Genomic DNA, 13,419 nt, shown 5'->3' with positions numbered 1-13,419 from the left:
CAGTGGCTCATGCCTGTAATCCGAGCACTTGGGGAGGCCGAGGTGGGAGGATCACTTGAGGCCAAGAGTTTGAGACCAACCTGGCCAACATAGTGAAACTCATCTCCACTAAAAACAGAAAAAAATTAGCTGGGTGTGGTTGCTCCTGCCTATAATCCCAGCTACTTGGGAGGCTGAGGCATGAGAAGGCATGAGAATGGCTTGAACCTGGGAGGTGGAGGTTGTGGTAAGCTGAGATCACACCACCGCACTCCAGCCTGGGCAACAGAGCAAGACCTTAACTCAAAAAAAAAAAAAAACAAAACAACAACAAAAAAACCCTCTATCTTTCTATGCGGCTATGTTACTCAGGCCTAGAGCAAACTAATAGAACTTGAATGTGGCTTTTTCAAATTGCATAAGACACTACTTAGTATCATCACTGGCTAAAGTCACCTCCCCTTTAGTATTACTCAGATCACAAACTAAGTCCAAACATGGTTCTCTCCATACGGAAATCCTGTCAGTGCAACATCCAGGTGTATTTTATGTTTTCTAGATGGAAAAAGTTTTTTCTTATTATGAAAAGTTCAAAATAGGCCAGTCATGGTGGCTCATGCCTGTAATCCCAGTACTTCGGGGGCCAGAGGCAGGAGGATCACTTGAGCCCAGGAGGGAGATGCTGCAATGAGCTGCGATTGCACGCCACTGCCCTCCAACCTGGCCAACGGAGCAAGACCCTGTCTCAAAAAGAAAGAAAAAAACAGTTCAAAATAAAAATGGCAGACCATTTAAAAAGTTGGAAAGAGAGGCCGCAGAAGGTGCTTCCGTGGGTGCCTCCCTGTCTCCGGCTGTGCACGCCTGTGATGCCCAGAGCAAAGGTCTTTCTCTCTGGGTCCCAGGGGGCCAGTGGGGCCAGTCCCGGAACAGCACAACTGGGCATCGAGGATACACAGTCCAGCTTCTTCCCCTCCTCCAGGCCTGGCCCACTCTGAGGGCTGCTGCCCATGGGGTGGCCTCGCCCTTCCACCTCCTCCCTGCAGGCTTTACCTCCCTGTCTCACACCAGCTCAGTGCAGGGCTTCTCAGCTCCACTCCCAGCGAGGTGACTCGCAGGAACATCTTTGTCTCTGTGGGCAAAAGAATCTGACTTACCACGGCAGCTAACAAACAAAACAGCCAAACTCCAATAATAACCAGTGGCTACTCAGAAGCAAAAGCCATGTGGAGTTCTCACTTTGTCTTTCTTTCTTTTTTTTTTTTGAGATTGAGTCTTGCTCTGTCGCCCAGGCTGGAGTGCAGTGGCGCGATCTTGGCTCACTGCAACCTCGGCTTCCTGGGTTCAAGCAATTCTCCTGCTTCAGCCTCCTGAGTAGCTGGGATTACAGACGCATGCCACCACACCCAGCTGATTTTTGTGTTTTTAGTACAGAGAGGGTTTCACCATGTTGGCCAGGCTGGTCTCAAACTCCTGACCTCAGGTGATCCACCTGCTTTGGCCTCCCGAAGTGCTGAAGTGTTGGGATTACAGGTGTGAGCCACCGCGCCTGGCCCTCTCTCTTTCTGAAACCAAGCCGGATTTCTTCTCCTCAGCCTAAGGTTCTTTCTTCAACACACACAGTTTTGGAGAAACAAAGGGGAGGAGGGAATCATCCTCCATTCTTACTGTCTTACTTCTCCTTACCTCAGTGCCCAGGAGGGTGGCTGGTGTGAAGGTGGCAGCTCCCTGAGGATTCCTGCCTTGTGAGGTCGGGAGGCAGGAGTCATGCCCTGAACGCAGAGAGCGGAATTCGCCAGAGGAAAGGGCTGGGTGCCAGATGACATTGCTGCAGGCTTCATGAGGCTCATTCTCCTCCCCTGCAGCCCAGGCCTCCCAGTGCGGGATCCACACCTGTGCCCACCACCACCAGCACAGCCTCCCCAGCCTGGCTCCTGCCCTTGCCATGTGGCCAACGCTTTCTCACACAGCAACCAGGCCGAATCCCATCTCCCTTTTGAAATTGCCCTGGAATCTTGGGCCGGGCGCGGTGGCTCACACCTGTCATCCCAGCACTTTGGGAGGCTGAGGCGGGTGGATCATGAGGCCAGGAGATTGAGACCAGCTTGGCCAACATGGTGAAACCCCGTCTGTATTAAAAATACAAAAATTAGCTGGACATGGTGGCAGGCGCCTATAATCCCAGCTACTTGGGAGGCTGAGGCAGGAGAATCGCTTGAACCTGGGAGGTGGAGGTTGCAGTGAGCCGAGCTGGTGCCATTGCACTCCAGCCTGGGTGACAACAGCAAAATGCTGTCTCAAAAAAAAAAAAAAAAATTGCCCTGAAGAAAATTGCCCTGGAGTCTTTTCTTCCCCATTCTCGATCTCCCTAAGGTTGGAAATTATCTTTTCAGGGCCTGGCATAAGGGCCTTCAGAAAACACGCGGTTGTCCGTTGATTGGAGATGTTTTAAATTTGTACAAAAGGCCAGGCGCGGTGGCTCATGCCTGTAATCCCAGCACTTTGGGAGGCCAAGGCGGGCGGATTGTCTGAGGTCAGGAGTTCGAGACCAGCCTGGCCAACATGGTGAAAACCCCTCTCTACTAAAAATACAAAAATTAGCCACGCATGGTGGCGGGTGCCTGTAATCCCACCTACTTGGGAGGCTGAGGCTCGAGAATTGCTTGAACCCGGGAGGCGGAGGTTGCAGTGAGCCAAGATCCCACCACTGCACTCCAGCCTGGGTGACAGAGCAAGACTTAGTCTCAAAAAAAAAAAAAAAAAAGTAAAAAAATTGCTCAAGTTGGGGATGTCAAGGTTCACATGGGAAATCGTGTCTATTTTTCATTTTAATTATTTGCATTGCAACATTGTAAATTTTGGGGAAAAAGTTTGACAGGTCCTTTCAAAACATTATTTACATGCAGTACCGCGTTTAGTGTTGCACAGTCTGTTGTCTCGTAGTAACCATATTTAGCACATAATGAAGTCGGATAGATTTTAATTGTTCCGTAGCAGTCATCATAAGGATATAACATTTATTGTGTGTTTACCATAAGACAAGCACTATCCTAAGCTTGAAAAAAAATCCACTCATTCAATGCCTCCCAAATCCCAGAAGGCAGCAATTGGTGTGGCATAGAAGTAGAGTTGCAGATTCTGCAAATGGTAGACTCAGTAAGTGCCCACCTAACCAGGAATGCAGTGCAGCAAAGGCTGTTGTGTGGCTTGGGACACGTCAGTTTCCTCACCCATGAAATGAGGGTGTTGGCTGAATTGCCCATCTGTGGAACTAAGCTAGGACTAAAGGGAACCATCTGCAAGAGCTTCATGTAACACAAGTGGTGTCAGTTATGCTGGTTACAAAAGGGCCCCTTTAAAAATACATGTTTGAAGTCGAATGATGAAGAATAATTAAAGTAAAACTAAAAATATATATCACTGTATTCATCCAGCAAGGCTGTTTGTTAGTATTAAGTACTGTCCTTATGTGGGCTTCTGTAATATTTAAACTGCATTTGAAGCCAGGCATTGTGGCACAGGCTTGTAGTTCCAGCTACTCAGGAGGCTGAGTTGGAAGGATCACTTGAGCCCAGGAGTCTGAGGCTACGGTGAGCTATGATCGCACCTCTGCACTCCAGCCTAGGTGACAGACAGATACCCTGTCTCTAAAAAAAAAAAAAAAAAACAGGAAGAAATAGGCCAGGCGCTGTGGCTCACACCTGTAATCCCAGCACTTTGGGAGGCCGAGGTGGGCGGATCACCTGAGGTCAGTAGTTCCAGACCAGCCTGGCCAACATGGTGAAACCCCGTCTCTACTAAAAATACAAAAATTAGCTGGGCATGGTGGTGGGCGCCTGTAATCCCAGCTACTCGGGAGGCTGAGGTGGGAGAATCTCTTGAACCCGGGAGGTGGAGGTTGCAGTGAGCTGATTGTGCCATTACACTCCAGCCTGGGCAATAGAGTGAGACTCCGCCTCAAAAAAAAATTAAGAAATAAAGAATAAAAATAAAAATAAACTGCATTGGAAACACACACAAAAAGACAGAAATAATAACTTCCCAAAGAAAAGCAACATTCGTCGCCTGACAGGCGATTTTGTTAGAGGTTGGATCTGCTGTGGGGACCTGGGAGTAAGTGGACAGAACACGGTGCTTCTCTTATCAGCAGAGAGTAGATCTTTAGCAGCAGTCACGCGGTGCTGAACACTAGCTTTTAAATTAGCTGCATTTTAAATAATATGGCTTAAAAATACACAACAATAAATCAGGAGATCATTGTAAATCACAGTCTCACATTACCAAGCTTCGTCTCTCCCTGGTGCAATGTATGATTAATCTTTCCGTTGCCAGGAAAGCGATGCTTCCTGTTGGAGAGATTGAGTGTGGATCTGAAAGTTCCCTCACCTTGGGTTCACTTGTTAGCACGGCTCCTGACCCAGCTGTCTGCTGCCTGTCTGAGGACAATGGAAACCTGCTGTCTTTCAGAGTGAAATTCTTATTGACATTCAAAGAGTAAACATCTACCAAGATACATTTGCTTATTTTGTCTTCTTCCTGGTGAGTTGGAAATACCTGGATTTTTGCCATAATAAAGGCATTTCTCAATGACAGACACTGTACCATCACTACATAGCAAGTTTTAACCCCCACACTGAGGAGTAAAATCTCCAGCATCCGCCTCTCTGGGGTTGGCTCTCAGGCAGTGGTAATTATCAGGATTTTATCCTAGAAAACAAGGCAAGTCTAACACACCGTTTCTCAATTAAGTTTCCTGAAAACCAATTTATTCTATTTGAGTAAATTATATATTTGATACTGAAATTACAGAAACATTTTACTGTTTCACTAGCGTACACTCACGGGTGCTTTGCAGAACAGCTGGTTGGGAATACTTATTGTAGAACTTTTCACAGCATTTATTGATCTGTCTGGCAAATGAATCCCTAGACAGGAACTGTCTATGGGTGACATTTTACGACCCCAGTATAGATCCAAAGCTTTTAATGTACCTTTCGCCTTTATCATAATGTCACCAAGAAAATCAGAGTGGGTAGGAATAGCCTTCTGACATCAAACGGCATGTTTAACTATGTTAAGATGGCTCTGACCTACTCAGCCTATACAGCTAAAGATTTTGGAATGGTTCTTTGCCAATCTGGTCCTATGGCCTCTAAAATTAAATAAGCAAGAGATGATCCTCCATCTTGATGATACAGGGCCATGGCTGAGTTCTCAGCAGGCCTCAAAGAGCAACTAAACCTACCGGTCAACCATTGTCAACAGAAACAGCAAAGTATTAGTTATGCCAACCAACATCAAAATAGGTATTCTTGTCAGACCAGTCCTGGCATCTAATTGATCATACAAAGCAACCCTGTTTAAGGGCTGAACTCACGATGTTGGTAATGTCAAGAAGTACTGGCCAGGCGAGGTGGCGCACGCCTGTAATCCAAGCACTTTGGGAGGCTGAGGTAGGAGGATTGCTTGAGGTCAGGTTACTTGGAAGCTACACTTAATGGGTTTATATTTTGGAGGGTACCAGATAGAAAACCAAAAAACTAGTTTGCTTCTCAAGAATTTAAAAACAGGGCTTTTGCTTTTAAAGTTATTAAACCTTCTCATGGATGTTGGAGAGCATTGTGATGGAGAGGCTGTAAACTGCACAAACTGATTGTTGTTTTGTTTTGTTTGAGATGGAGTTTTGCTCTTGTCGTCCAGGCTGGAGTGCATTGGCACGATCTCCACTCACTGCAACCTCCTTCTCCCAGGTTCAAGCGATTCTCCTGCCTCAACCTACCGAGTAGCTGGGATTACAGGCGCCTGCCATCATGCCCGGCTAATTTTTGTATTTTTAGTAGAGATGGGGTTTCACCATGTTGACCAGGCTGGTCTCAAACTCCTCACCTCAGGTGATCTTCCTGCCTTGGCCTTCCAAAGGGCTAGGATTACAGGCATGAGCCACTGCACCCAGCCCGTTTTCTTGTTTTGGAGTACAATTGTTCTGACAGTGGCTGTGGTTCCGCATATCTGTACACGTGTTAGAGTTCATAGAACTGTCATCTAAAAAAGTCATTTTTAACTGTATGATGTTTTACAGATAACACTTTAAAAATGCATTTAGGCTGGGTGCGGTGGCTCACACCTGTAATCCCAGCACTTCCCACTGGGAGAAGGGGAGGAAGACGGCCCTGTCCCTGCAGGATCGTGGTCCAGGAATCGGAATGAGCTCCCGGGTCTCTACTGGCTGGTTCTGTTCATGCCCCTGGGGATTAATTAAGCATCCAAGTTGAGATGTCAGATAAACAGTGGAATACAGTGTGTATTTCAGGGGCTTGGCTTGGTCTGGAGATGAAGTCATCAGCAGGTAGATGACGTTTAAAACCCTGAGCAGGAATAAGCTCCCTGTAAGAGGGAGGGCAGACAGAAAACCCGCCCGGGGGAGCCTTGAGGCACTGGGAGCTTTGAGATCAGAGGATGAGGAGGAACCAGGGGTGAGGAGGAACCGTGGTTGGGGAATGCCCAGAAACCATCCTCAGGCTGTTCAGCTTTGCAGAATTTCCTCTCTTCGAGCAGCAGCAGTCACACCGATAGCTGCTATTTGTTGAGCCTTCTCCGTGTGCCAGGCAGGGGTGAGAGCTCTCGATGATGTTCTCATTTGCTCCTCCCAACCATGGTCTGCGATGGATGTCACTGTGCCCCCTGCACAGGTGAGACAGCCAACTCTTTGCCCACATTCTGGAGGAGAGCAGTGGGGTCTGAACTCTGATCTTTTTCTTCTCTTGCCCAAATTCCTATCTAAGGGGCCTGGGGAGTCCATACTATAAACCGTAGTCTTACTGGAAGGGTTTTATTTAATCCTATATAATGTGGTTCACTTTCCACCTGACTCTGGCATAACCTCACATGACAGATAAGGAAGGAAATAAAAATATTTTAACCCAAATATGCTTCCTTGCCAGATCTTGAAATAGCCCTGCAAAGTTGTCTCTTGTGGGGAAAATCCATTCTGTAGAGAACCCCTTTCTGTTTTCCAGACCTTTTTCCTGATCCAGGAGACAATCAACAAACAGTCTGACACGTTTTTATGTCCAATATGAAACATTTACAATCTATTCTCCCTCTGAAGCCTGCTACCTGCGAAGTAAGAACCTTGGTCTCCACAATTCCGTATCTTTTTTTTTTTTTTTTTGAGACGGAGTCTGGCTCTGTCGCCTGGGCTGGAGTGCAGCGGCGCGATCTCGACTCACTGCAACCTCTGCCTCCCAGGTTTAAGCGATTCTCCTGCCTCAGCCTCCCGAGTAGCTGGGACTACAGGTGTGTGCCACCACGCCCGGCTAGTTTTTTGTATTTTTAGTGGAGACAGGGTTTCACCGTGTTAGCCAGGATGGTCTTGATCTCCTGACCTTGTGATCCGCCTGCCTCGACCTCCCAAAGTGCTGGGATTACAGGTGTGAGCCACTGCACCCCTGGCACACAATTGCATGTCTTAATCCAGATATTCCTTTCTATTGATTCCAGGTCTTTAGATAATAACTCAACCAACTGCCCATCAGAAAATCTTTGAATCCACCTATGACCTGGAAGCCCCTGCCCCTTCCAATTGTCCCACCTTTCCAAACCGAACCAACGTACATCTTACATGTATTGGCTGATGTCTTATGTCTCCCTAAAATGTACAAAGCCAAGCTGTAGCCCAACCACCTTGGACATATGTTCTCAGGGTCTCCGGAGGGCTGTGGCCTGGGTCATGGTGTTAGTGGCAGCGAGCCTGCATGGGTCTGCAGCAACCTCAATTCTTTCCTCCTCAGAAGAAAGAATTCAGCTGAGGGGCACAAAGCAGACTGAGAGATTTAGGCACATTTTAGAGCAGGTCTGAAAGTTTGTTGAAACATTTAGAGCAGGAACACAAGGAAGGAAAGTATACTTGGAAGACGGCCAAGTGGGCGACTCGAGAGATCAAGTCCACGGCCTTTGACTTAGGGCCAGGGGTCTTACATCCCTTCTGCTCTGATTCTTCCTGTGGGGTGGGCTGTCCACATGCACAGTGGCCTGCCAGCACTTGGTAGGGGCTGCGTGCATAGTGTGTTTACTGGAGTTGTACACATGCTCCCTTGAGGCATTCTTCCCTTACCAGCCCAGTGTTCCCAGAGGAAGGTCATCCTCCAGCCCGGTGTTCCTAGAGGAAGGTCATCCTCCAGCCCGGCGTTCCTAGAGGAACGTCATCCTCCAGGTTTGCCTCTTAGTGCACATACTTGAGCCACTTGCCCAGCTCCTGAGATCTTATCAGGAAGCAGCTGATCACCAGTTGCAGGTGTTTCTGTCTATTGTGGGGGCTGCTTTTCCTTGGTGCCAGCTGCAACTAATTATTTTAGAGAGACAGTTGACAGCCACATGACCATCACCTGATGGTCACCTGACACTCCTGGCTGGAGGGGGGCCCTCTCCTGTCTGCTCATGTCTGACTTGCTACCAACTGTAAGAATTGGTCACTCATATTTGGCTCACAGGAAATCTCTTCAAATATTTTAGAGTTTGACTCTCTTCATTGACAGTAGTCGGGGTGGAGGACGCCTCCAGGCACAGATCAGGCATGGACAGGCCCGCGGCACCACGCTCCCAGGATTGGGGCCGCCTAGGCGACAAGAGCGAGACTCCATCTCAGAAAAAAAAAAAAAAAAGAAAGTCCATAAACACATGTTTTACAAGCCAGTTACACTTTTATGAGAGTCCGTGATTGCCTTTATAATGACTCAAAGCTGGGGGCATGGAGAAGCTGTGCTCTGTGTTTCCCCGGAGCTGTGGATGGGTTTTGCTTTGGGGTGATCGGGACGGCAGTCAGCCATTTCTCTGGGGACCCCTTCATGCCAGAATGCTGAGCAAATGAGAACTGATGACATGTACTCACCATTGTTTTTCCTGTAACCATATATATCCGTTTTTGTCTGTTCTGTTTTGCAACATGTAGATCTGCCTCATTCCTATGAAAGTTGTAAAATCTTCCATTACATGGTTGCATGAGATGTGTTTTTGACCAGCTTGTCTTTAATAGCAATGAGTAGCAACTCACGAGCTGGGCACTTGAATTCCTCTCTCTTGCTGGCTAGCCTCTTCTTCAGTTGGGTATCAATATTAAGCTTATCCCAGAGGTCAGCGTTTCAGATGGTGACTATCTCTGAGCCCTATGATATAAACCTGTCATGAGGAATTGTCATTTGGTTTACTGCAAGGCCTTTGTGAGCCATAGGTTAATATATTAATGAAGACTGTGGCTGTTAGCCTACATTAAATAATGACGGCCAATGATTGGAAGAAAAACATCCTTATGTTCCCCTGCAGAGTGTGAGATTGATGAGAATGGATTACCCTGCCAAGGGAACTCAAAAATATTACAACCTTTTATTCCTCTGTGGCTTGGACGAGTGTGTATTCATTTCTACGCTATTACAAAAAAAGCTCTTACAACGATTCTGAGCTAAAGACACATTAAATCACCACTTTAATTATATCGAAACAGGACTCTGAGATTCTATCACTAATCTAGTTTAATCTTGGCAACTCAAGCTCATCTAATATTTTATTTCTATTCAGGTCATATTAGTCAATTGGGCATTAGCAGCAGTACTTATTTATCTTATCAGTTTATTTTTGGTAAAGTAGTAAATTATGATAGAATTACAATAATTCCTCAGCTTATATTACATCTCACAATCACATACAAGCTTGGCATTTTAAAATGTGGTCTTGGTTCAATATTAACACTTTCATGGTTGTCTCTTCCACTTTTCCAGAAGATTTAAGTGGCTTGGAATATTCTGGATGTGATTTTTCTCTCTGAAATGCTGCTGTTTCGCGTTTTATTTGTGGCATTACCTCTATGTGCAAACAGATACAGAGCGAGCCATATACAGTAGGCCAATGAGCTTGAAAGCCAGGAAGAAAAGGTAGTGGGGGTGGGGTTGGAGGAGTTGGACCCCCAACTACTGACAGGTTTCACCAGGATGGTCTGAGGGAGGCCAGCGGGGCCCAGAGGCTGTGGAGACCCAAGGTGCTTTGCTAATGTCCCCAGAATAGAGTTTCTATTTCAGCAGAAGACCTAACACAAGTGAGTTCAGGGACAGATGCACAATAACCAGGTTCATGGAAGCAGTGATGAGCACACAATGTTGGTTTATTCGACACACAGTGGAATGGTCAGAGGGACAAGGCGGTTGGGTCTCATCCAAGACCAGCCCCTGTGTTGCTGTATGCAGGTCTCTTTATTTTGTTGATTTTTTTTTTTTTTAAGAGTCAGGGTCTCCTCTGTTGCCCAGGCTGGTGTGCAGTGGTGTGATCATAGCTCTCTGCAGCCTTGAACTCCTGGGCTCAAGCAGTCCTCCCTCATCAGCCTCTTGAGTGAGTGGGACCACAGGCACATGCCACCACGCCTGGCTTGTGTGCAGGTCTCTGTGGGAAGCTTGCCCACGAGGCCTTGCCAGGGGCCCCATGGTGCCTGCGTCCACCACAGGCCTTGCCAGGGGCCCCACGGTGCCTGCGTCCACCACAGGCCTTGCCAGGGGCCCCACGGTGCCTGCGTCCACCACAGGCCTTGCCAGGGGCCCCACGGTGCCTGCGTCCACCACCTGCAGCCTCTGGCTCTCCTGTCCCCCACAGGATGAACCATGAGGGCGGGCTCTAAGGAAGACCCGGAGTCCACGAGTGAGCCTGCAGCATGTGCGCAGCGCCTGGGCAGCATTTTCTCTAAGCTTTTATTGACTATAAACCCCTTTTGGGTTCACAATGCATTGATTATTTAGATATAGTAACATATTCAATTAGTTTATAGTTACCTGTTCCAGAGGATTCCTTCATCTCCTCCACCTGGCCTGGGTAATGCAAACCAGAAGGACTCATGAGCAGACATAGACTCACTGCACAGCCAGAGACCACCCCCGCACTCCCAAACCCCTTAGACTCATGGAGGAAGGAAGGTGCTTGCCGAGACCTCTGTGGTCTGTCCTGGGTCTCAGCCCTTCCCACCAGTCAGAGCAGGTTGAATTTTCTCCTGCAAATGCCAGAACAACTTGAGTCCTTTGGATATCTCTTTCCCAATCGGTCAGTATTGATTTTACAGTTTAACTCTGAGAGGGAAATCTTATTTCCTGAATTTCCAAATTCTTAGTGAACGTTCCTACCTCTAACAAGTATCCTTTGTCCACTTTTTAATAAAAATGTTTTTCTTTGCTATGGGTAAGGTTGTTACGAATAAAACTCTAGGTTTAAAACTTGTGCGACCTCAGGCCCCATGGTTATGGTGAATTACAGCAGACACCTTCTATAGCTGGAAAACAACTGATAGACTCATTTTCTTTTTTTTTTCTTTTTTTTTTTTTTTTTTTTGAGATAGAGTCTCGCTCTGTCACCCAGGCTGGAGCACAGTGGCGCGATCTCGGCTCACTGCAAGCTCTGCCTCCCGGGTTCACGCCATTCTCCTGTCTCAGCCTCCTGAGTAGCTGGGACTTCAGGTGCCCAACACCTCACCCGGCTAATTTTTTGTATTTTTAGTAGAGATGGGGTTTCACCGTGTTAGCCAGGATGGTCTGGATCTCCTGACCTCGTGATCCGCCCGCCTCAGCCTCCCAAAGTGCTGGGATTACAGGCGTGAGCCACCGTGCCCGGCCAACTCATTTTATTGCTTAACTTTTTATTATGAAAATGTTACAACATACAAAAGTAGAGAGAATCATGTAATTAGCCCCCACATACCCACCACTCAGCTTAACCAATGTTCAATCCATCCAGCTTCATCCGCACCCCACCCATCCCTCCATCTTTCCCTTTCCTGTTGGATTATTTTGGAGTGAAATCTCTGACACAGAATTTTTTCCCAGAAATAGTTCAGTATGCTACAGATATATGTTGTCGTGACTTTTTTTTTATTGTGGTAATGTACATAATATGAAATTTACCATTTTAACCATTTCAAGTGTATAGTTCAGTGACATCAAATCCATTCTTACTGCTGAGCAATCATCACCACCATTGGTCTCTAGAGCTGTTTTCATCCTGACAACCAAAATGAGCGACTGAGGCATAAGTCTCAGATCATCGGGGTTACTGAGCCAGCTGAGGGCACTCCCAGGAAGAATACCCACCACAGACACATCTGTGGCTGTTTCTTCCAAAGAGGTTCTCAGGAGTATTTCTATAGTTTCCTTAAAAGGTGGGGGGTGGCAATGAGACAAATGATTATATACTTGGGAGACTGTAGTTAGTGCCAAGTAAATCTACATTTCACGCAACATAAGGCAAACATTTGAAGAAAAGGAAGGGCCCAGGGAGGGGTGAAGGAACAATTGATCTCATCTTGTCTTTGTTCTGTACCTGGGCAGATCAGTAATCAACCCACGAAGTTGGGGAGGAGCCTTTTGAAAGGATCCGTTTCTTTCAGCCCTTAGTGAAGAGAGCCTAAGGCCGGGAAGTGAGGGAGAGGGACCAATTCCCAACCCGTCATGGCGTCCAAGTCTTCTCCCCTTCGCCAACACAAGGTCTGTTCAGTCAGCTGGGGGCTTTTTTTTTTTTTTTTTTTTGAGTCGGAGTCTCGCTCTGTCACCCAGCCTGGAGTGCAGTGGCACGATCTCAGCTCACTGCAACCTCTACCTCCTGGGTTCAAGCAATTCTCCTGCCTCAGACTCCCAAGTAGCTGGGATTATAGGTGCCTGCCACAACGCCCAGCTAATTTTTGTATTTTTAGTAGAGACGGGGTTTCACCATGTTGGTCAGGCTGGTCTTGAACTCCTGACCTTGGGTGATCCACCCGCCTTGGCCTCCCAAAGTGCTGGGATTACAGGTGTGAGCCACCGTGCCCGGCCCTATTTTTGTTTCTCAATCTTCTCCATTGAAATTGTCCCCATGTGTAGAGCGCCTTGACATAAGTGACTCCATCTTAGAAAAAGACTCCATCTTACATTTCAAAAGGCACTTTGCCAACAGGGACCAGATATTGTGCCTGATCGATAAAGTCTGCATCCAACCAGATAAGGATGTAACCAAGCACACTCTTCCACTAGCATCCTTGCCAGTGGGCTCCGTGGCCATGAACGAGCGTGACGTAACCAGCTAGACACAGCCATCTCGACAGACCCGGTCTTGCTGTCACTCATGATCACCTGGCGTCGGCCCCAAAGGCTCTGCCACATTAAAGACTTCCGTGCAAGACCACAGCTGCCTGACGCAGACCAGACCAGGCTCTGCCACATTAAAGACTTCCGTGCAAGACCACAGCTGCCTGACGCAGACCAGACCAGGAGATTCTTTCTGTCTTCATTACTGTTTCTGGGCTGGTTTGTGAACCTCCACATTTTTTTTTTTTTTTTTTTTTTTGAGATGGAGTCTCGTTCTGTTGCCCAGGCTGAAATGCAGTGGTGTGATCTTGGCTCACAGCAACCTCTGCCTCCCGGGTTCAAGTGATTCTCTGCCTCAGCC

This window comes from Homo sapiens, chromosome 7 (genome assembly GCF_000001405.40).
Source record: "Homo sapiens chromosome 7, GRCh38.p14 Primary Assembly".
Lineage (NCBI taxonomy): Eukaryota > Metazoa > Chordata > Mammalia > Primates > Hominidae > Homo > Homo sapiens.
Note: the sequence above shows the minus strand (reverse complement) of the source record.